The sequence below is a fragment of the Homo sapiens genome, chromosome 7 (assembly GCF_000001405.40).
Source record: "Homo sapiens chromosome 7, GRCh38.p14 Primary Assembly".
NCBI classification, from domain to species: Eukaryota; Metazoa; Chordata; class Mammalia; order Primates; family Hominidae; genus Homo; species Homo sapiens.
In genome coordinates this window covers 150,891,457-150,916,027 of record NC_000007.14, presented here as the reverse complement: position 1 = coordinate 150,916,027, position 24,571 = coordinate 150,891,457, and the positions used below count along the sequence as shown (strand labels likewise).

Here is a 24,571-nt window from a genome sequence, read left to right as displayed (position 1 = left end):
ACCTCCCTGATCAGCGTTCTCAGATCCAGGTGTCCTTCCCTCCCTGATTGACCCAGTTCATCCCACTGTTGTTGCTACACTTGAGCCCTCATAACTTTTCAGCTACTTCATGAAATTCTAGCACTTGGACATTAAAATGGGACTTACATGTCCTCTAGGTCAACTTGTATTTGTGGGAAACAGCCTCCAGCTTTCTGTGTGGTGAAGCAAGGGGCCCGGGCGTGCGTGGCCTAGGCCTGGGTGTGTGGTCATGTTTTCTCTAGCTGGAGGATGCTCCTCCAGCTGTCTCTTGGCTGAGGGGCTTGCAGAGTGGACAGGAGCGAGGTATAGAGGAGAGCTTTGAGCATATAAAGAAGTTCTTTTGGGTTGAGTTCTCTAGATGGGGTTTAGGGGAGGAAAAAGAATCCCCAGTCAACAGAATTAATTTGGGACTATCCTCTTTGAAGAAAGGGAGTTAGTATAGAGTGGGGAAAACATTTGCCTTGGAGTTGGATTGACTTGGGTTCAAATATGAGCTCCAACATGTGCTGGCTGTGTGACCTCAGAGTCATTGCTTAAAGGACCTCATTTATTGTACCTGTAAAGTGGTTAGTGACAGGATCTCCCCATATGTGGTCATGCAATTTAAAGGATATGTGAAAAGCTTGGCAAGTGTTTAGTTAGGTTAAGCCATGCTCACTGCTGTAGTAAGCCAACTCCAAAACCTTAACCATGGTTAAGAAATAAACCTCAACCGTGGTTTATTTCTCATTAGGGCAAGGTCCCAGGCAGTGCTCCTCCCTGCCATGACAGAGGTCGAGGGGCTCACATCCTGTGACTCTGCCCTCTCAGCAGGCGGCCTCTGTAGTGGCTGCCATGTGGAGAGTGGCTACCAGGTGGTGACCGAAGAGACACACCAGCTTGGAGCTTTGCTTGGAGCCAGTTTCATGGCCCCATTGAAATGCATGGGAGGCCAGGAAACATGAGGGAGACTGACGGGCTGACTCACGTATCTTAGTTCTTTACTCCACAAACATGACAACATTTTGCATTTTCCTTTGAATGAGAACCCCATAACAATTCCTTTAGCAAATCCCATGGTGGCCTCAGATGTCCTATTAGAAAAGGGGGTTCACACTTCCACACTCAGGTCTGGATTGGGACCAGGAATGTGATGGAGAGGCTGGCAGTAAGGACATTTTAAAAAAAGATGTCTAAATTTCTCAGAAGGAGAAGGGAAACCAGAAAAAGATGGGAGAAATTTAAAACTCTGGGGGATTGAACCTGGAGTGGTGGTGAATGTACTTTCCTTACTGCTGGAATGTTCCTTTGAATCCATGCAAAATGAAAATCCCCTCCACCACAGCCCAGATGGATGGACCCCTGTCCAGGAACAGAGCATGCTTGACTTCGCTGGACAGTGCCTGTTGTAGGCGAAATCTGTCTTCTAGTGCCTTGCATCTGTTGGTCCTGCTTCTCCTTCCAGCTGCTCCATAAGCCCAGCCTCTGACAACGACTCAGATATGTTAGGCAAATGCTCGGGTCCCCTCAACCTTTTCTTCTCTGCGCAAAACAGCCCTTAACACTGCAACCACTCCTGGGAGGATAGAATTTTGAGGTGCTGGCAAGACACAGGGAGAGAGCCCTCACTAGCCCAACATCGCTGGCTTCATGAGTCTGCAGAGCTTAACACTTGGCTGCCCCTGTGGGGACAAAAGAAAGGCCCCCAGGAGAGCTTGGTTACTAGAATCAATGCAAATGGCAGGAGACAGGTTGCCTTCTAGGCCAAAGGTAAATCAGACATGACTTTAATAAAGCTAAATAAATAATGCGAGCAGAGGAAGGGCGACTTGGGGATAGACAACCCACAAAATGGGGAGTCCGAGAGATGGATGTTGACGGTGTCTGCCCAGCACTGTCCGGGGGACATGGAATTTGAGTGTTGTGAGCATCCAGGATGCTGGAGCGCTGATGTCTCGGGCAGGGAGAGTCATCAGGCCATATCATAGCGTTGGGGAGATGCCCTCCAATATTAGCACCTGCCATGGACCAAATTCCATGTTCACAGGCAATGTTTAGTTTAACAATTTTACGTACCAGTTCTCTGATCCTGGGAAAGACAGTGTTCTGGTGGGAAGGTCATTCTGGTGGTTGGAGTGGGAACGAATCCACTGGACCCTGGTTCATCTATCAGTCTATTGCGGGCAGGAACCATTCTCTGCTAGAACGATTCCCCAGGGAGGCTGTGCACCACTGACAGTTGCCACTGTTATCTATTTTCCATTCTTCCCTGTTAGTAGAATCCACATGCCAGCTAAAATACTCACCCTCCAGACCCTCCTGAAGCTCAGGGGAGCTGTGTGCCACAGTTCTGGCCAATGCAACGTGGGCGGAAGTTTATAGGGAGTGTATCCTTTTTCACGATAACAAAGGTAAAGCCCTGCTGGAGAAAACCTTTTTGCCCTTCCCATTTCTTTCTACCTAGAACATGATTGTGAGGCTTGGAAGTGCAGCGGCGATTTTGTGACAATGAAGACAAAAGCTACACTCAAGGATATCAGAGGAAGGAGAGAGAGAGGGGCTGTGGCTCCTTGGTGACATCCATGAGAAGCTGCCCCAGCCCCCACTTGCCTTGTTCTGGACATTGTAGAAAATAAGCTCCTGTCTGTTTAAGCCAGAGTTGGTGGTGGTCTTCACTGATGCAGGTGCTAAGCAGAGTTTCTGGGCTAGCAGAGCTGAGACAGGACCCTACAATGTAGTCAGTGCACAAGGTGATGCGTCTGCGAGGTCCTTGGTGGTCTTCCCCTTGGATACTTCTCAGTGTTTTTCTGGTCATAAATATAACTCACATACTTAGTGAAAATTCAGATGAATCAGTGAATTTTAAAGAATAAAGAAAAAAACTTCCTTAAGCCTACCACCCAGAGATAACCACTGTTTACACAGTGGTGAATATCCTCAGAGATATCTGTGGGTCTAGTCGATATAGGTAATGCATTTTTAAAAACATATATAGGATTGCATTTTGAAACTTGCTATTCACTCAGCAGTGTTTTGTGAACCTCTTTCTAGTGATTTTGTTAAGAAAATCCCTTCTGAATGTTGTCTGATTGAAAAAATATCTCCATTATTAATGTTAGCTCTTTTCACACTTAAATACTATTATTTAATCTATTATACTGTAATTTAGCCGATCTATCCTCAGTGGGTATTGAATTTCTGGTATTATGTGTAGAGCTGCCGTGCAGGGTCTTGGGAGAATGTCTTTGAGAACCTCCTGATCGCCTCCCGAGGAACATCTCTGGGAGTGGGTTTGCTGGCTCAGAGGGATGCAAGCATGAGGGTCTCTCACTCCCTGGCCTGAGCTGCTTCCTGCTGTGAGGTCCCCGCTCCTGCACTGTGGGATGTTTCTGGAGATGGTCTCAGCTTTGCTGACTTCTTCTACATGTCTGTGCTCTCTGGTTCAAAACGACCCGAGACAGCTCATCAGTAGTTCAATCACTGCCGTTGCCCTGACACATGCCCCATGACAGCTATTCTAATTCCTATCCCACTTCTTAAGCCCCCAGTCCTACCTTTCTGGAACCACTCTCAGGGAGATTTCCTTCTTTGAAGATCCAAATTAGGCTAAATTTGAGCTCAGTGTATAAGGCACTCTGCAAAAGGTTTCGCTTTCCAAGAAAAGCACTAGTCAGAATGGATTTTCTTTACAAAATCCTTTTATTTTCCAATAGAAAGGGCCCTGAGTGGGTGCCGAGACATCGCCTCCAGTGCGTTCAGCCACCCTTTTGCAGGGTGCTCTCTGTACAGTGAACTTGTTTGTACCCAGCTCTCCATGTCCTCCTCCTCCCCAACTTAGGGGGAGGGTCGGTCATCCACAGGGACTCTGTGGCTGTAACCCAGTCCCGCTTTTCTCCTCCAAGGTGAGCTGCACCCCTTCTTTTCGCCCAAGTTGATTGACAGCAATCACAATGGATCTCAGTGTCCCTGTCCTCATTAGGGGAATTGCCAAGCTGGCTCCCTCTGTCTTGTAACAGAGATACCGTACAGTAGCCAGCACTCAACGTTTTCTAATGAAACAATGTAAGACATGAGGCTGAAGAACATTCTGTGCCCATTGTATTCATTTGTTACATTAACAAAATGCATTAAGTATCTCGTGGGATCAGGCTCTCCTAGGCCTTGGAGTACTGGTCTATTTAGTGATGGTTTTCGAAGTCCACACATTCACAGGTGGAGGAAGTGTTGTAATTAGCAAATGGGCAGCGGCCATCCCCCAGCCTGCCACTTCTGCAGGGTGGCTCAAGTGTCCCTGGCAGGTCAACCCTTTCTTCCTTTCCTCCTGGATAAGAGGAAAGGGAGATTGGATTCCAAATCTTCCCACATCCTCTGGTTCATGGCGCTTTGTCCCTTTAGATATGTTAATTATTCAGCTTCTCGAGTAACGAAGAAGCTCCCTTCATGAGTGCCCCCCTTACCATGAGAAGCTTGCCCTGGGCTCCATCCCAGTTCTCACCAGATTTCCTGACAGACACACAACCCTCTCCGCTTCTCACACGTGCGCTCTTTCATGCACAGCCTGGCTCAGCTCCTGCACTGTCTTGAAAACACACCACTGACCGCCCCCCTGGACCTGGAATCTGTGTTCTCTCCAGGCTTCGACGTCTTCCACTGCCACCTCCTCCAGCTTCACGAGAGCAGTCAGTGGCCGCCTGACTTGCAAGCTGACTTCCATTCCCTTCCTCTTCTCTGCACCGACCATTCTTCCAGGTCGCCTTTGTTGGCTTCTTGTTTCTCCTCCTGTAAAGGGCTGATGGCCCCCAAGGTTTCCTCTGCGCCTTGAGCTCGTTCCTGTCTACATCTAGTTTGAAGAGCTCAGGCACGTGCACAACTTCCTAAGACATATGTAGGAGGATAGCTCCCAGGCCCTTGTGTGTGGCAGGGTGTGTGCATGGGTGCACGTACGTGTGTGTGGCAGGGTGTGCACATGTCTCTGTGTGTGTGCACGTGCATATGTGTGTGCACATAGCAGGGTGTGTGTGTGCATGTATGGCAGGTGTGTGTGCGCATGTGTGTGTGTGTGTGTGTGTTGAATTTTCTGATGAGTGGGAGCGATGTAACTTTCACTCTCTCTATTCCACTATACTGGCCTCCTCGCCAGTCCAAAAACAAGGCGAGCCTTCTCTCACCTCTGCCCTTTTTTCTGCAGAAATGCTCTCTCTCCAGGTGTCCCCATGACGCTGTCCTCATCCCTTCTGGTTTCTGCTCCAAGGGCACCTTGTGAAAGACTTCCTGACCCATCCATATAAAATAGCGACCTCATTTGCTGAGCTTTAAAATGTTTCTCCATAGCCCGTACCACCACTTGACATCTCTCAAACACACACACACACACACACACCACACACCACACACACACACCACACACACCACACACACACACCACACACACACACACCACACACACCACACACCACACACACACCACACACACACCACACACACCACACACACGACACACACACCACACACACCACACATACACCACACACACCACACACACACCATACACACACACCACACACACACCACACACACCACACACACACCACACACACCACACACACACCACACACACACCACACACACACCAAACACACCACACACACCACACACACACCACACACCACACACACACACCACACACACACACCACATACACCACACACACACCACACACCACACACACACTACACACACACACCACACACACACCACACACACACCACACACACACCACACACACCGCACACACACCGCACACACACACCACACACACCCCACACACACCCCACACACACCCCACACACACCCCACACACACCACACACACACCACACACACACACCACACACACACACCACACACCACACACACACCACACACACCACACACACACCACACACACCACACACCACACACACACAACACACACCCACACACACACCACACACCACACACACACCACACACACCACACACCACACACACACCACACACACACACCACACACACCACACACACCACACACACACCGCACACACACACCGCACACACACACACCACACACACACCATACACACCACACACACACCACACACACCACACACACACACCACACACACACCACACACACACACCACACACACCACACACACCACACACACCACACACACACCACACACACACACACACCACACACACACACCACACACACACCACACACCACACACACACCACACACACACACACACACCACACACACACCACACACACACACACCCCACACGTTTATTTCTTTATTGTCTGTCTCCACAAACTTAGAAGCTCCTAGTGAAAAAAGATTTTGTCTCCCTGGAAGTCATACAGTAAATATTTGTTGAATAAGTGAATTCTCATTAACACCTGGTAGGAGCAAATCTGTTGATAAGGTTATTAGCTGCAGAATCCCCTCTACTCAGTTTAAGAAGAAAAGGATTGATTCGGGGTTTGTAGTAGATCATAGGATCTTGGAGCTTGGAAGAAACAGACTCAAGAATGAGCTTTCAAGAATGACTTCCCGTGTGATACCGCAGACCAGCCCCTTGCCTCTGCCTCAGTCAAGAGTTTCTAGAGCAGGAAGCCCCATCAGCCGCCAGCTCCAACAGTGCACGGCTTCTGCTACCAACCACAATGGGACCTCTGCACTTTCCCTCTTCCCCACATAACTCAGGTCTAAATCTAAGTGTCATGGGCCCATATGTGGTTAGTGGAACCTAAATCCCATGTCCATTCCCTAACAATAACTGAGACTCAAAAATGTGGGCTCCTCCCCACCCTCCAGTGTTAGGAAGGCAATGTTCACTTGGGGAAGAGGTGTTCAAAAGATTTGGGGGGCTGAGCGTGATGGTTCACGCCTATAATCCCAGCACTTTGGGAGGCTGAGGCAGCTGGATCACTTGAGGCCAGGAGTTTGAGACCAGCCTGGTCAACACGGTGAAACCCCATCTCTACTGAAAACACAAAAATTAGCCGGGCATGGTGGTGCACACCCATAGTCCCAGCTACTCGGGAGGCTGAGCTGGGAGGCTTGCTTGAGCTCAGGAGGCAGAGGTTGTAGTAAGCCAAGATCATGCCACTACACTTCAGCCTGGGTGACAGAGTGAGACCCTGTCTCCAAAAAAAAAAAAAAAAAAAGATTTTGGGAAGGCTGGAGGCATGGTGGCTCATGCCTGTAATCCTACCACCTTGGGAGGCTGATGCCAGAGGATCACTTGAGCCCAGGAGTTCAAGACCAGCCTGGGAAACATAGTGAAACCCTGTGTCTACAAAAAATAAATTAGCTGGGTGTGGTGGCACCTCCCTCTACTCCCAGCTACTTGGGAGGCTGAGGTGGGAGGATTGCTTGAGCCCAGGAAGTCAAGACTGCAGTGAGCTGTGACTGCACCATTGCATTCCAACCTGAGTGACAGAGAGAGACCCTGTCACAAAAAAAGACAAAAGATTTTGGGGAGCCATGAATGACAGATGCCAATTATATATACTTTCCTAGGTTTTCCATTCTGATGGGATTAAATGTTTCTGTCACTGTAATTTTAATTTTCTATTAGCTTTCCTTTCTTGTATGTTCTGTTAATGCTTAGTCAGTTTTTTTTTTTTTAAATAGAAACGAGGTCTCACTATGTTGCCCAGGATGGTCTTGAACTCCTGAGCTCAAGTGATTCTCTTGCTTTGGCCTCCCAAAGTGCTAGGATAACAGGTATGAGCTATGGTGGCCGGCCATTAATACTTACTCACTTTTAGACATTGCAAATGCCTTTTTCTAATCAGGCTTCCATATGTTAGTTTTGTCTATGGTATTCTTTATTGATTGATTGATTGAGACAGGATCTTGCTATGTCACTCAGGCTGGAGCACAGTGGCACAAACATGGCTCACTGACACTTCAACTTCCTGGGCTCCAGTGATCCTCCCAGACTCTCCAGTAGTTGGGACCACAGGCATGTGCCACCATGCCCAGCTAATTTTTGTATTTTTGGTAGAGACGGGGTTTTGCAGTGTTGCCCAGGTTGTCTCAAACTCCTGAGCTCAAGCAATCCAACCACCTTGGCCCCCCAAAGTGCTGGGATTATAGGTGTGAACAACTGCACCTGGCCTTGTCTACGGTATCCCTTAAATAGAAATTCTTTTTGCCCCTGAATGGTCATAATAAGTTAACTTTTACCTATGGTGGGTCCTCCAGAGTGCTGAGTTGTATCAATTAGATTTTTTAAAAAATAAATTTGATTGTGTATATTTAAGGCATACAACATGATGTTACGAGATCCATGTAGATAGTAAAATAATTACTATAGTGAAGTAAAGTAACATATCCATCATCTTATATTAGCACTTTTTTTTTGGTAAGAGTAGTTACAATATACTCATTTAGCAAAAATTCCCAATGTGATACACTATTAGTAACCAAAGTCCTCATGTCTGGATCTTTAGATTTGTCCATCCTACATATCTGCTATTCTGTGTACTTTGACTCACATCTTCCCATTTCTTTCTCCCACCTTACTCCTGGTAACCACTGTTTTATTCTCTATCTCTGTGTATTTGCCTTTCTTTCTTTTTTTCTTTTTTAAGATTCCACATATAAGTTTGATCCACTATATTTGTCTTTCTGTATCTGGCTTATTTCAGTTAGCATAATGTCCTCCAGCTCTGTCTACATTGTGTCAAATGGCAGGATCTCCTTTATAAAGCCTAATTAATATTCCACTGTGTATACATACCATAGTTTCTTTATCCATTTGTCCACTGACAGACATCTAGGCTGTTTCTGTATCTTGGCTATTGTGAATAATGCTGCAATGAACTTGGGAGTGCAGATATCTTTATGAGGTGGTGATCTCATTTTCTTTGGGTATATGGCCAGTAATGGGATTGCTGGATTATAAGGTAATTTTATTTTTAATTTTTTTGAGGAGCTTCTATATTGTTTACTATAATGGCTAAACGAGCTTATATTCTCACCAGTAGTGTACAAGGAAGGTTCCCTTTTCTCCACACCAACACCAACACTTGTAATCTCTAGTCTTTTTGGTAATGGTCACCTTGACAGATGTGAGGTGGTATCTCATAGTGGTTTTGATTTGCATTTACCTGATCATTAGTGATGTCGGGCATCTTTCATATATCTGCTGGCCATTTCTATGTCTTCTTTGGAGAAATGTTTATTCAGGTTCTTTGCCCATTTTTAAAGTGGATTGTTTGTTGTTTTTGCTGTTGAGTTGTATGCGTTTTTAAAAGGCATTTTCGATATTAACTCCCTATTAGATACATGGTTTACAAATATTTTTCTCTGATTTGTTGGTTGCCTTTTTTTTTGTTGTCGATTGTTTGCTTTGCTGTGCAGAAGCTTTTTAGTTTGATGCGGTCCCATTGATTTATTTTTGCTTTTGTAGCCTGAGTTTTGGTGTGGTATCCAAAAAGTCATTGCCAGGGCCAATGTCGAAAACTTTTTCCCGCTTGTTTTCTTCTAGGAGTTTTATGGTTTCAGGTCTTACCTTTAAGATCTTTTATCCATTTTGAGTTGATTTTTGTGTATGGTGTAAGACAAGAGTCCAGTTTCATTCTTTTGCATTTGGAAATCCAGTTTTGAATATAAATTCTTAATTTTTATATAGGGAAAACATCAAGTTTTGCCTTATAGTTTGTGCTTTTTAGGTCTTTCTTATGAAAGCTTCCCTGAATCCAACCCCAGGTATCAAATACATGATTGTAATTTTTTCTATTGCCTTTATAGTTACATCTTTCACATTGAGATCTTTAATTCACCTGGAGCCCACCTCTGCATATGGGTGTGGTGGGAATCCAACACCCTCCACCCCCTATTAAGGAGCTAGTTTTCTCAGCAATCATTTGCTACACATGTTCTTCTTTCTACACTGACTTGTGGTGGCTTCTCTGCCATAAACCAAGTTCTTGTACACACGTGGGTCTATATCCAAGTTCTCTATTTTGGTTTATGATGCCAGCACTTTACCTTCTTATTACTATGATTTTTGGGTTATCTTCCTTCTGGTGAGATACATTCTTCTTGGCTCATCTGGGATCTGTGGAAGGGTGAGTAAAAGCAAATCTTTCTGTCCTTTTCTTCGGAGTCCCTAAGCTCCACAATAGTCAAAATGAAAGAAAAATACCGGGCCTCTGACAGCCAGTTAAAAGCGAACAGTGCGGCTGCCGGACTTAAGGCATGGAGGATGGCCAGAAGATGAAGAGGGCAGAGAGATGATGGGACAGGACGACCAGCTGCAGAGAGGAGTACCCTCTACGCTGAGAGCTGCAGAGAGGAGTACCCTCTCTGCTGAGAGCTGCAGAGATGACCAGTGTGCAGAGAGGAGCTACCCTGTCTGCTGAGAGTTTCAGAGACCTGCAGAGACCTCCGAATGACTTGCCTGCAGACAGGAGCCACCCTCTCCAGGCCTCCTCTGCTGAGAGAGGAACACTCAACGGAGGACCTGCCTATAGAAAGGAGCTACCCACTCCTCTGAGCTGTTCTAACACTAAATAAAACTCTTCTTCTTTACCCATCACTTGTCTGTGTACCTCATTCTTCCTGGACACAGGACAAGAACTCGGGCAAAGGCGCCGTGGCCACAGAGGTTTCCAGTCAGAAAAGTCGACACCCCAGAGATCCTGTAACATCTTTAAAAAAATTATGGTAGTAATTTGGGAACTTTTATTCTTCCTTATAAATTTTAGAATAAATGTATTGCATTCCTAAAAAAGGACAGTTGGAGTTTGATTAGGACGACAATTGTGGTAATAATTGGGTAGAATTGATACTTTAATATTAAGTTGTCCAATCCAACAACACAGATTATTCTGTTTATTTAGATCCACTTTTATCTCCTTTATTAGAGGGTAAAAATTTCCTTTACAGAGGACTAGTATATTTTTTTTCAGGCATTTTATAGGTTGTGTTGCTGTTATGAAAGGTATCCTATTTTCTTATATGTATATATGTCTTATTTTCTCCTATATATTATAGGTGGTTAATGTGGTATAGACAAAGTGTTATTGGTCTTTGTAAGTTGACTTTACATCCATCCAGCAACCCTGTTATTAGTTTTAATAATTAGTTGAAATTTCTATGTAAATTTTCATATAGTCCACAAATAACATTTTAATCTCTTTCCTCCTTCCGACTTCTACACCTCCCATTTCCTTTTCTTGTTTTATAACAGTGGCCCTGACTCTGGCTCTTTGTTACATAGCAGCAATGCTAACAGGCACCTTATCTTCTTGCCAATCTAGATGGGGATGTTTCTAAGGTTTCTCCATTGGATGTGATATTTGCTTGGGGTTTTGGTATGCCGTCTTTAAAAGTTGAGGTGATTCTATTCAAATTCTAGTTTTCTGAATTACTCTTTGGCTCTTTGCCATGAAGGGCTGCCTGTCCCTCATGCCCTTGGCCCACAGAGCACAGCCAGGCTTCCGCCATGCCACCACAGGCAACTCCATGACTTACAAGCTGGTGGCTTACAAACAGGATGTCACTCCTCCTGGGAAGCATCCTCCACCACTGTCCTGGAGGGACATAGCTCAGCCCAGGTGGAGGAGAGTGGTGATGCCCTCCTGTGACACACAGACACCTCATGCACACCTGTGACCTGTGGTACACAGGCAGGAGGGGTCATGGAGAGAAATGACATTGGCTGTGAAACAAGGTGATTTGGCCTCAAAGTTGGGACCTGCCATGTACTAGCTGTGTGACTGTGAACAATTTATTCAACCACTCTAAACCTCAGCTTCCACATTTGTGAAATGGGGAATCTAACTGTTCTTGGGGAAACCACGTGGTAGTTTGTTAAATAAAATAGCCAGCAAAAAGTATTCAGCAGAGTAATAACTGTCCGCTATTGTATTTGTAATCCATAAACGAATATCATTCACACATTATGAGCAGGGTAAATGCTCTTGATAAGAAGTTAAGCAAAAGCTATATATAGACTAAGTCGACGTTTGTTTTAAAATTTGCATAAGTAAAAGACCGAGGAGAAATAGATCCTTTATATTTGTGTTTTCGAATTTTTCTGTAGTGAGCACATGATTACCTCATAAATCTCTGAAACATGTTTTATGGAAACAGAAAGCCCAGTGTGACTCAGCAGTGCCAAGGCTGCCAAGAGAGCTGGCGGTGGCCCGGCCGCTTCAGCGGAAACAGTGCCCGCACCTGGAGGTCCTGGGCCTGCCACCCTGGGCCCTGGCTGGAGCCCAGCTACACCAGCGCTTTGTTTAGCTCTGGGCATAGGTAGCCATGGAGACCCTGAGTGCCACGGTGGAACAAGAATGTGGCGAGTGTGTGAAGGCCACAAAATCTGCAGGACAAGAGGGCTGAGAAAGCCAGGAGGGGTGATGTGGGATGGGAAGAAGCAGGGAGCCCCCCGCCCGGTAGGCTTAGGGGGGTAGGGGAGAGGGGGAGAAGAGAGAGGGACAAATAGAGACAGAGAAAGAGAGAGAGAGGTATGGAGAGAGAGATGGAGAGAGGCCGGGCGTGGTGGCTCACGCCTGTAATCCCAGCACTTTGGGAGGCAGAGGCGGGCGGATCACGAGGTCAGGAGATTGAGACCATCCTGGCTAACACGGTGAAACCCCGTCTCTACTAAAAATACAAAAAATTAGCCGGACGTGGTGGTGGGCGCCTGCAATCCCAGCTACTCAGGGGGCTGAGGCAGGAGAATGGCGTCAACCTGGGAGGCAGAGCTTGCAGTGAGCCGAGATCACGCCACTGCACTCCAGCCTGGGTGACAGAGCGAGACTCCGTCTCAAAAAAAAAAAAAAAAAAAGAGAGATGGAGAGAGAGGAGGAGGTGAAGGAGAAGGAGGAGGAGGGAGTCCCAGCGTGAGGAGGCGCTTCTGCTGTGGCCGTCTGACCTCAGGGCCCACCTATTGCTTTCCTCGTGCCTGGCCCCAGCATGTTCTTCTGGGCACTGCCCTCCCCACTCAGCCACAATGTTCCTACAGGTCCGTCCATTGCCCCATGGTCCATGGTCCTGAGCCCTGAGATGTCTTTCTTGGGAGTTTGCAAACTGGCCTGGGAATAGAGACTCTCTCTCAGGCTGCAGGGCCTGCAGTGTCCTCAAAGGCCATGGCCCTGCAAGAGGAAAAAGATGAGAATGAAATCAACCAGTTCAGGCGTGAGCGCCCGGCCAGCTCCTCCCAGAGGCAGGTCCCTGCCCTTCTCCAGGGTCTGGTTGTTGAACGTTCCTTCACTGGGCTCGACTCCCAGGCATCTTGTCAAAGTTCATCTCCTTTTTCTTGATCTTGTTCAAGTTGAAGTTTTATCACTTGCAACCAAAAAGGTCCTGAGTAACACAAAATGACCGGTATCAGTGGTAAAGAGGAGCCTGAAGGAGAGGCTCCAGGAGAGGGTGGCCTGGGAAAGACATTGTAAAGGTGTGGCTCCTGGGGATGGGGGTGGGGCCCCAGCTGCCTGTGCTGGGTGTGCACATGCTCTGTCTCTCTGTCTCTCTCTGAGTCTCTATCTCCCTCCCTCTGAGTTTTCATCTCTGTCACTCTGTCTCATTTTCTCAGCTCAGTAGAGACATTGGCCCTCTTTTCCAAGCTCCCTATTTTGCCCTGTCTCCTTCACTCTCTGCTGCTGACCCGCTGCTAATATGCTCTGCCTCAGCAGCCTCCCCACCCCGCAGCCCAACTGTTCCCGCGCCATCCACGACCATTCCTGCAGGCTCAGGGACAAGCTGGGCTTTGACACATGCCCTTGACTCCTACCCCCTTGGTAACATTTCCCACCCCCACCCTGCAGTCCAGCTCTCCCTCCTGGGTCCCGATGTGGGCGGTGGCAGTATATCTGTGCCCAAGCTTGATGCCCCCTCCTTCCTTCTGTGTGTCCTGGATTCTCTGAGATCTGGTGCTTTAACCTCTGGGATCCTTCCTGGATGTGCCTCTTCTTTCAAAGCCTCCTACCTTGGCCCTGATTTAGACTCCTATCATCTCTCGTATGAAGATTTTCTGTCTCCTGCATGATTTCTCTGTTTTTGTTCCTCCCTAATCCACCCCCCACCCCGCTGTCATCATGGCAAGCTCACAGATCTCTTTGTGCCACTGCCATGCAGAGAGCTCTGCCAAGGCCCCGCCAGCTGTGCAGTAAACCCCAAGGTCGGGCCCTCTCCAGGCTCAGCCAGGCAACTGCCCACCTGTCACATTTTACTCCAGGCACCCTGGACTATTACAGCTCCCAGCACAGAATGCAGTGATGTTTCTCAACTGTGTGCCTTCGATCAAGCTGTCGCCCTCGGTTGGAACACCCCCTCCACAGTTCCCCAAGCCTGGCTCACTCTGATGCATTGGACCTCTGCCAGACCCCTCCCCTCGCCATACCCCAGCCTGCAGGGAGAGGTAACCTCTGCATTTACACCACAATTTCTAGTTACTTCCTCATGAATCAGTGCTTCCCACTAAGCAGCAGGGGCCTTGAGGTTGTGGGGCCTCTGATTTCACCTCTTTGTAGTATAGTCCAGATATTCAATAAACAGGGACTCAGGCCTCACGGAGCAAGGAGGGGACGGGCCGAGGCTGCCTGGGCCGGACACAGAGCTGCAAGGGTGAGTGCAGTGCATGTGCAGTGTGGCTGGGGAGGGAGCTCAAGTTCGCTCTGCAGAGGCTTGGCTGCAGCAGCAGCCCTTTGATCCCCGAGTTACAGACCTTGCCCTGGGCCGGTTCTTCCTGCTCTGGAGCTGGGGGCAGGGACAATATCACAGAGTAAGGCCAGTCTGGACTCTAGAAAAGTGTCTCTAAACTGGGAGACTCCTCCATCCCACCCAGAGTCCAGAAGCAGGCTAGGGTCCCCTCCATCCAGAAAGAAGGTGCCCTCCCCGCAGCAAGCTGGAAACACCAGAGTCGACTGGAATTCCAGGTTTACTGAGGGCCTGCTGTGTTCCAGGTCCCAGAGGTGTAGGTCCTGGAGGTGTAAAAATGAGCCAGGGGCTTTCAACCCAGCGAGGCAGAGAGGCAAGTGAGGCCAGGGGTGAGAGCAGCTGGGTAAGCACAGGGAAGAGGCCCCGGTACCCGCGAGTGCTCCATGGTACAGAGCCTGGGTTCTCACTGGAGAGAGAGACAGAGTAAGTGCAAGTGCATAAGGCAATTCCCTACAGCAACAGTGAGGGCAGAAGACAGGGCTGTGGGGGCTGGGTCGCCGTGGAGAAAGTCTCTTTGGGAAGTGACATTTGAACTGGATGCGCTGGGTTTACCTTTTAAGGTCAGGAGAGGCAGACGCAGAGGAATCAGAAGATGCAAGGCCCTGAGGTGGAAACAAGTTTTGGTGTGGCTGGAAATGAGGATGTCATAATTTTGTCAAAGTAATGCTGCCCAGGCCAGGTGCCGTGGTTCACACCTGTCACCCCAACGCCTTGGGAGGCCGAGGCAGGAGGATCACTGAGCCCAGGAGTTTGAGACCAGCCTGGGCAACATAGTGAGACCCCTACTCTAAAAAAAAAATTAGCCAGGCATGGTGCACACCTGTAGTCCCAGATATTTAGGAGGCTGAGGTGGGAGAACTGCTTGAGCCCAGGAGTTCAAGGCTGCAGGAGTGACCTGTGATTGCACCACTGCACTCCATCCTGGAAGACAGAGAGAGACTCTGTCTCTAAAATAATAATCATAATAACAAACAGCTCTCAAACTCAGTGCATTATGACAACCAGTGTTAATTACTCTCATACTCACAGGTCTCAGATGGCTATAATTTGGCTGATCCAGGATAGGTGTGGCTGGACGGCCCTGCCTTAGGCTGTAGGTAGCCTGGGTTTGACGCAAGTTCAGGTGGTTGCACCAAGTTTGTCCTGGGGCACAGCAGAGGCTCTCTGGAGGAAGCTCTTCTTACCCTGGACTTCTGGAGTGGAAAGAAGGAGCCAGGCCATGTGGGCGCATGGAGTGCTTCTGCTAGTTCCATCCTCCAACAGCCCCAGGGCCAAAACACGTCAGGTGGTCAAGTCCAACATCAATGAGCAGGGGAGTCTATACGGGAGGAGTGTGAGTATTTGCTGAATAATAATAACCCAGACTGTCACCCGCCACCTCAGAGAGGAGCTGTGAGGACGGAGGGAGTCACTGCCTGGTTTGTGCACATGTTAAATGCTTACCCCATGCTAACTGATACGTGGAGGATGTAGGGATGGGTCAGATTCTCAAGGTCTTGATAAATCACGTTGAAAATTTTGGGAGCCATGGAGGCTTCAATCAGAAGGGTGACAGGGTTTGATCTGGATTTCAGAGCAACCCCTCTGGAAGCCGCGTTGAGGTTGGTCTGATGGAGGCGAGACTGGGGTCTCAGGGTGATGAGCAGTAAGTCATCATGGGGAAAGGAAAGATGGAACGAATTCAGGAAATGCTGGGAAGGTGGGACTCACGGGTAGATGGCAGAGGGGCTGTGTGGAGGGAAGCAGGTGCCTAGGCTCTCGGTTCTTGGCTTGGGTCAAGGGACATGATGATAGACCCTGGGCTGGGGAGCACAGGAGGAAGGGCTGGCCTGTGCAGGGGATAGAGGAGGTGATAAACCGGCTTAGACATGTGGAGTGTGAGGTTCTCACAGGACGTTTAGGTAGAGGTACAGGTCTTGGCGTGTAAGAGAAGAATATGGACATGGGACATATATTTGGGAGTCAAATCGGTTAAGGGGCAGGCAGGAAGTGAGCCCCAGTTATTGAGGTTTCCAGGGAATGGGAAATATGCTGGGTTGGCGCAGGGGAACTCCAGTGGCGCATATTCACATGTGGCTGACGTCGCCGTGAGATAGCCATCCTCATATTCTTCTTCTAAACTAAAGCCTGAAATTACTTGGGGGTGGCAAAGCCCAGCAAAAGAGCCCACCCCCAGCCTCCATGGCTAAGGCTTGGCCAATGAGTTGTAAGACAAGTGATGTCTGTGAATTCCGGCAAAGCACAGTGAAGGTAGCCATACCCTTCTCTGTCCCCTCCTCCATCCTACTGCCTGACTTGTATGAGATGGCTGGAGCTCTGGCAGTCACCGTGGACTAGGAGGCTGGGGGCTACATCCCAGGTGGAGGCCGTGAGGAGGAAGGAGGCTGCGTGCCCTAGGCCTTCATGGGGCCCCTAAGCCACTCAGGACTGTGTTTACAGAGAAACACGACTGTCTCTTGTTGAAGCCGCTGTGAACACATTTTTCTGTTCCATTCAGCTGAACTTGGTCCACAGGGAGCCATTTTGAGTCTGCCGTTCTTGGTCAAGCCTCACCCCGGGGGCATTTCCAGCCTCTGTTTTCTCCGCGGGATTAATAAGAGGCAGCCGTGCCCGGTCCAGTCGCCGCGAGGTGTTGTGCGCCACCTGGTGGTCGCGTGGCAGACAGCATTCCTCCAAGCGAGACAGCACCAGCGGCTAAAATGCAGCTATCTGCACCTCGAACCCAGCCCATCTTTTAGCCAATGACAAGCCAAGTGCCCCAGAGTCCTGCATGGCAGTGGACGCTGACAAGAACTCCAGGAATTCCAGATTGCATGGAGCTTCTCGGCTCAGGTGTGTTTTCGGAATCAACTGCGGGCAGTTTCCAAGGAGCCAGTTGGCGGTCCCTGCGTCTCCTCGTCCAGGTCGTGAACTTCTGTACTAAAGGATTCCATGTGACCCCTCTGCTGCAGACTCTGGTCTCAGAGCAATAGTGAGAGCTGGAGAGAAGGGAGGGAGATGACTCACTGCTTTACTGAGCAGGAAATTAACACCAAGGGAGCCTAACCTGGCAGCAGCCTGGAAAAATTGGTTTGCGGTGGTTTGAGCAGTGGGCAAAGTGGGTTTATGTGGGCGAGCTTATTAACACTTCCTTTTGCTGACTGCGGGTACAAGCTTGAAATGGCCAACAGTGCAGCAAATAGAGACCAAGTTGCAAAAATGAGTCTTCATCTCACTGAAGTTTGAGAAATTGCAGAGGCTCGTGGAGAGACTCCTGGTGCCAGGACACGCAGGTCTCCACCCAATCTGGCCACTCTGTGTGTGACCCGGGGCCCGTCCTCTGTCTCCAGGCTCCCCTTGCTACATGAGGTGGCCGGAACACTGCCTGGGTTTTGAGGCCAAGGGTTTGTAGGTGTTGGTGAAGAGAAGGGGCCCCCAGGCTAGGTGAGGGGACCTCAGTTACCTCCCCCTTTCCCAATCATCCTTTTCTGAGGCCACCTTCAATTGCTACCCTATCCTAAAAGGCCTCGAAAAGCAACAGGCTCTGGTGTCCCGACATCTTCTGGTTTCCTCTTCTTTCTGTGAAACAACTGAGTCTCAGCTTTTCTCATTTGCATCCCCACCTGGCAGCTGAAGAGCCGCAAACAAAATAACACCTGCTTTACATGAAGGGGAAGTGACTTGGGGCTGGAGTGAGAGGTGGGCCCGGGTCATAAGTCCTTGTTTGTTTTCTTCTTTCCTTACACTGCTTGGTGGGTTCTTCGTGGTCCTCCGCAAAGAGGGTTTGGGAATGGCGGGTGTCTCTCTCACTCGGAGCCAGCCCCTGTCTCTCTTCTGCACTGTTCCTGAGCCTGGGGTGGGTGTCTGGAGCGAATGGACTGGATTCCTCCCCAGCCCCAGGGTCTCTGTCTCTGGTGAGGGGCAGGTGGCTGTGTGTTGAACAAGCCTCTCCCTCCTCTGATCCACAACCAAACACATACAGGGATGTCCCGGGTAACTCTGGGAGTGTCCCTGTCTCTGGCCCTGCATTCTGGGGTCTGTGAACTGCAAATTGCTAGATGGAGGGATCTGCCTACCCCAAAGGGGAATTTCCAGGGAGAGGGATCTGTCCACCCCAAGGGGTGTGGCCAGGGATCCTCCTCCAGGAGATGAACCCCACAGACATGACTTTGGGTCCAAGCACCATCAATGCCATTTCCTGGGGCTGCATGGCTGGGAACCAGTTTGCCGACCAGTCGGAGCTAGATAGGGAGGGGGCAGGGCCGAAGTGGAGGTCTCCCCCTTTCCTTTCACTGCCTTTCTACATGCGGTGCTGGTCCTGGATCTGTTGTCCTGAGACTCTACACTTGTCCTCTCCCTCCTCTGCCATGTCTTGTGGGGACAGACCCCTGCAAGTGGTATCTCCCACACTTCCAGGTTCCACCCATGGGAGGCCTGAGCATGAGACAGAGGGGGCTGGACCTTCTCTCCCTTTCTCTCCAGCTGCGACAGACAGGCCCCCAGGGCTCCCAGCTTCCACTGGTGACCCGGCTGCAGGGTCTGGGAACTCCACGCCCTCCCTCTGCCCCTGCCTCTCTGGGCATTGCTGTCTCTGGAGTACCCACCCTGTTTATCTCTTAGTTCACCCATCCTCCCAGCTTCCAGTTCCCTGAAGTCCAGTGTCTCCGTGCTAAGTCTCCCAGCAGTCCCTGATTCCCAACCCGTGTGTCTTGCTGGATCTTCCTTCCCCACCTTAATCAGGCTGGCGCAGATCCCACCATAGTTTTTTGATTGTGTTTGTGTGTGAAACAGGTCTGTCAAGTTCAACCAACATCTGACATCCAGTTCAGTTTTGCCTCTCCTCCCAGCTCTGCTGGACCCCAGGTCCAAGGCTCCTACCCTGGGGAGGGGCAGGTCTGGCCGTCCCCTCCTCTCTTCCTCTCCCACACCTGCTGATGCTCCTGGGGCCAGGATGGAGGGGAGGGGGCTTGGAGGAAAAGTGGCCCCACTGGCGTGGCCATTTTTGCTTACATGGACCCTTGGGCTCTGGGTGGCTGATATGCAACACTGGCTCTTCTGCTGGATGCAGGTGTGTGTTCTTCCGAGCATCATGGACCTGGACCTGCACAGTGCCCTGATGACCTGTCCCCTGCTGTCCACCCCACAGCCTCTAACTGCATAGTTCTCCTCGTCTGCCTGGCTGCCCTCTTAGAAGGGGGTGTTACTGGATTCCTGTGGCCACCACCACAAGGTGCATAAACTGGGTGACTCAAAACAACAGAAATGTATTCTTTCATGGTTCTGGAGGCCAGAAGGTCAAAATCAAGGTGTTGGTAGGGCCACGCTCCTTCTGCAACCTCTAGGGGAGCATGCTTCCTTATCCATCTGGCTTCTGGTAGCCCCAGGTGTTTCATGGTTTGTGAAAGCATCACTGCAATCTCTGCCTCTGTCTGCATATGGGCTTCTTCTTTGAGTGTGTATGTGTCTCTCTGTGTCTTCTCTTCTTCTTATAAGGACACTGGCCATTGGATTAGGGTCCACGCTACTCTAGCGTGACCTCGTCTTAACTGATCACATCTGCAAAGACCTGTTTCCAAATAAGGTCACAGTGATAGGTACCAAGGGTTAGAACTTCAATATATCTTTTTGGAGGACACAGTTCAACCCACAACAGGTGCAGACACACCTTGGAAATATTGTGGGTTCACTTTCAGACCCCGCAATAAAGCAAATATTGCAATAAAGTGAGTTATAAAAATCCACTGGTTTTCCAGTGCATATAAAAGTTATGTTTATATTATACTGTGGCCTATTAAGTGTTCAATAGCATTATGTCAAAAATACAATGTACATACTTTAAATTAAAAAAATCTTTATTGCAAAAAAATGCTAACAATCATCTGAGCGTTCAGTGAGTCATCATCTTTTTCCTGGTGGAGGGTTCTGCCTTGGTGTTGGTGGCTGCTGACTGATCAGGGTGGTGGTTCCTGAAGGCTGGGGTGGCTGTGGCAATTTCTTAAAACAAGAAAACAATGAATTTTGCCACATCAATGGACTGTCCTTTCATAATATATTGCCTTGTAGCATGCAATGCTGTTTGGTAGCATTTTACCCAAGGTAGAACTTCTTTCAAAATTGGAGTCAATTCTCTCAAACCCTGCTGCTGCTTTATCAACCAAGTTTATGTCATATTCTAATTTTTTTGTTGTCGTTTCAACAATGTTTACAGCGTCTTTACCAGGAGTATATTCCATCTAAGGAAACAGGCAGGATGTGGTGGCTCATGTCTGTAATCCCAGCCTGGAATCATCCCAGGCCTAGGTGGAAGGATCACTTGAGGCCAGGACTTTGAGACCAGCCTGGGCGACATAGTGAGACCCTGCCTATATATAAAAAAAAAAAAGAAAGAAAAAGAACCAGGCATGGTAGCATTCACTTGTTCTAGCTATTTTGGAGGCTGAGGTGGGAGGATTACTTGAGGAGCTTGAGGCTGCAGTGATTCATGATTACATCACTGCACTCCAGCCTGGGCAACAGAGCAAGACTCTGTCTCAAAAAAGAAAATAAAAAAGAAAGAAGAAACTGTTTTCTTTGCTCATTCATAAGAAGCAACACCTCATCCATTCAAGGTTTTTTTTTGTTTGTTTTGTTTTGAGATGGAGTCTCGCTTTGTTGCCCAGGCTGGAGGGCAGTGGCACAATTTCAGTTCACTGCAACCTCTGCCTCCTGGGTTCAAGTGATCTCCTGTCTCAGCCTCCTGAGTAGCTGGGACTACCGGCACATGTCACCATGCCCTGCTAATTTTTGTATTTTTGTAGAGAAGGGGTTTCACCATGTTGGCTAGGCTGGTCTTGAACTACTGACCTCTGATGATCCGCTCACCTCGGCCTCCCAAAGTTCTGGGATTACAGGCTTGAGCCACTGCGCCTGGCTGCCAGTCATGTTTAGTCATGAGATTGCAGCAACTCAGTCACCTCTTCAGGCTCCCCTTTTAATTCTACTTCTCTTGCTATTCCCACCACATCTGCAGTGAGTTCCTCCATTGAAGTCTTGAACCCTTCAAAATCATTCAGGAGGGTTGGAATCAATTTCTTCCAAACTTCTGTTAATGTTGCTATTTTGACCTCTTCCCATTAATTACAAATGTTCTTAATGGCATCTAGAATGGTGAATCCTTTCAGGAAGGTTTTCAATTTACTTAGCCCAGATCCATCAGAGGAATCACTATCTACGACAGCTAGAGCCTTACAAAATGTATTTCCTAAATAATAAGACTTGAAAGTTGAAATTGCTCCTTGATCCATGGGCTGCAGAATGGATGTTGTATTAGTGGGCATGAAAACAACATTAACTCCTTGCATGTCTCCATCAGAGCTCTTGGGTGATTAGGTGCATTGTCAATGGGCAGTGATATTTTGAAAAGAACAGTTTTTTTCTGAGCAGTAGGTCTCAACAGTGGCCTTAAAATATTCAGTAAACCATTCTGTAAACAGATATACTGTCATCCAGGCTTTGTTGTTTCATTTATAGAGCACAGGTAGAGTAGATATAGCGTTACTCTTAAAGGCTCCAGAATTTTCAGAATGGTAAATGAGCATTGACTTCAACTTAAAATCACCAGCTGCATCAGCTCCTAACAAGAGAGTCAGCCTGTCCTTTGAGGCTTTGAAGCCGGGCATTGACTATGAATGTCTCTAGTTATGAAAGTCCTCGATGGCATCTTCTTCCAACAGAAGGCTGTCTTATTTACTTTGAGAATTTGTTGTTTATGTAGCCACCTTCATCATTGATCTTGGCTAGGTCTTCTGGATAACTTGCTGCAGCTTCTCTTTGCACTTTGATGTTATGAAGATACCTTCTTTCCTTAAACCTCATGAGCCAATCTCTGCTGGGTTCAGACTTTTCTTCTGTAGCTTCCTCAACTCTCAGCCTTCATAGAATTGAAGAGAGTTCGAGCCTTGCTCTGGATTAGACATTGGCTCAAGGGAATGTCGTGGCTGGTTTGATCTTGTATCCAAACCACTAAAATTTCCTCCATATCAGCAATAAGGCTGTTTGCTTTCTTATCATTCATGTGTTTACTGGAGTAGCACTTTTAATTTCCTTCAAGAACTTTTCCTTTGCATTCAAAACTTGGCTAACTGGTGCAAGAGACTCAGTTTTTGGCCCATCTTGGCTTTTGACATGCCTTTCCCACTAAGCTAAACCATTTCTAGAGCTTGACTTAAAGTGAGAGATATGCAACTCTTCCTTTCACTTGAACATTTAGAGGCCATTGTAGTGTTATTAATTGGTCTAACTGCAATGTTATTGTGCCTCGGGAATTGGGAGGCCCAAGGAGAGGGAGATAGATGTGAAATGGTCAGTGAAGCATTCAGAACACACACAGCATTAACCGACTGAGTTCACCGTCTTACACGGGCATGGCTCACGGTGCTTCAAAACAATAACAGTAGTAACATCAGATCACAGATCACTAATCACAGATCACCCTAACAGATATAATAATAGTGAAAAAGTTTGAAATATTGCACAAATTACCAAAATATGACCCAGAGACACGAAGTGAGCACTTGCTTTTGGAAAAATGGTGCTGATAGACTTGCTCCATGCAGGGTTGCTGCAAACCTTCAATTTGTAAGAAATACAATATATGCAAAGCGCAATAAAGCAAGGTGCAATAACATGAGGCATATCTGTATCTTCAAGAGGTCCACAGGCCACTTTCTCTGGAGTTTCCCGTCATCCTTGTCACTATAAGAGGTGGGTGTAGGCTATTCCCACTGCCTGGCCATCTCAGGCTGCTTGGCTAACCGGCCACCTTCAAGCTTCTGGCAATAAGTAGGCACCAGTCTCTAAATCCATGTATGTGCCAAACTTGTGGGGTCCATGGCAAGCTCCAGATAGGAAGGGCCTGTGTGTTTCCACAACCACTCAACAGGTAGCCGGGGTGTGGGGTCCTCTCCCATGCCCCTTCCCCAGGCAGGTGCTGCATCTCTCCCAGTCATTCCCTGGGGGCCCCTCATGTGACTTGAAGTGGTGGGAGGAGAGCCATGGCACCCCTTCTCCAAGCACACCCCTGCCTCAGTGAACCCCCTTCATGCTCAAATAGGCTGGAGGAGATGGTGGTTCCAGGACAGCTGGGCCACTTCACAGCACACCTGGGGCTGGGGGCAGCTCTGTGATGTCACCTTTAGAATGGGGGGTTCTGAGTGCCTCCTTTTCACTCCACTGCTGAGGGAGGGATCCTCTGCCTTAAATATTATGGGATGGCCCAACATATGACAGCCGACATGGGACAGATGAGATCAACAGCAGTTCATTAGTCACATGAACTCACAGCCCCAGGGATGGAGGATGCGCATGTCACACAGGGCCACACGGGCGGGTGCACTTGTAGCAGGGCTGTAGGAGGCAGGCTGTGGAGTGACAAGAGGATGGGGTGGACCCCAGTTCCCATGGGAGGATGTGATTGGCCTTTTTGAATAATTTCACAGGCTGGCAGGTAAGTAAACCTATTAGGTTGACGGCCAGGTGGAGTCCAGCTGGTCTGGGTGACAGGGGAACTAGAGGATGGGGAGCCTCTTCTGTGGGGTGGGGGCACCTCTGGAGAACTCTAACCCCTAACTGCGGGGGAGCTTGCGGTTAGGCCTTTGAAGCTCCATGGTGCTCAGAGATGTCAAGGCAGCCTATGAAATTTTAGGCCTTAAAATACATTGCAGTGCTATGTGCTGGATGTTTTCAGCTTTGGGCTTTAGAAAAAACTGATAGACACTGAAAAAGTCCCATTCAATCATCTATTGCCTTTTTCTCATTCTTTTTAATGAGCTACCATAACAGTGAGAATTCAGGTGTCTGCTCAGGTTTGTGGTCAAATCTAAATCTGT

The 24,571-nt window shown here is 48.4% G+C and overlaps 4 annotated features.

The window, feature by feature from the left end:
- Positions 5,554–6,054: an enhancer, noted in NCBI's record as "H3K4me1 hESC enhancer chr7:150607062-150607562 (GRCh37/hg19 assembly coordinates)". NCBI's record gives its function as "activates a minimal SCP1, AML or CMV promoter by ChIP-STARR-seq in primed H9 embryonic stem cells {active_cell/tissue: H9 hESC(primed)}" and the evidence as "EXISTENCE:reporter gene assay evidence [ECO:0000049][PMID:30033119]".
- Positions 17,213–17,507: an enhancer, noted in NCBI's record as "tiled region #11983; HepG2 Activating DNase unmatched - State 12:CtcfO, and K562 Activating DNase matched - State 4:PromP". NCBI's record gives its function as "activates a minimal TATA promoter and a strong SV40 promoter by Sharpr-MPRA in HepG2 and K562 cells {active_cell/tissue: HepG2 | K562}" and the evidence as "EXISTENCE:reporter gene assay evidence [ECO:0000049][PMID:27701403]".
- Positions 17,270–17,329: a silencer, noted in NCBI's record as "silent region_18784". NCBI's record gives its function as "represses an Ori minimal core promoter by ATAC-STARR-seq in GM12878 lymphoblastoid cells {active_cell/tissue: GM12878}" and the evidence as "EXISTENCE:reporter gene assay evidence [ECO:0000049][PMID:35858748]".
- Positions 17,347–17,507: a silencer, noted in NCBI's record as "fragment chr7:150595609-150595769 (GRCh37/hg19 assembly coordinates)". NCBI's record gives its function as "represses an EF-1alpha promoter that drives an FKBP-Casp9 reporter gene in an ReSE screen in K562 erythroleukemia cells {active_cell/tissue: K562}" and the evidence as "EXISTENCE:reporter gene assay evidence [ECO:0000049][PMID:32094911]".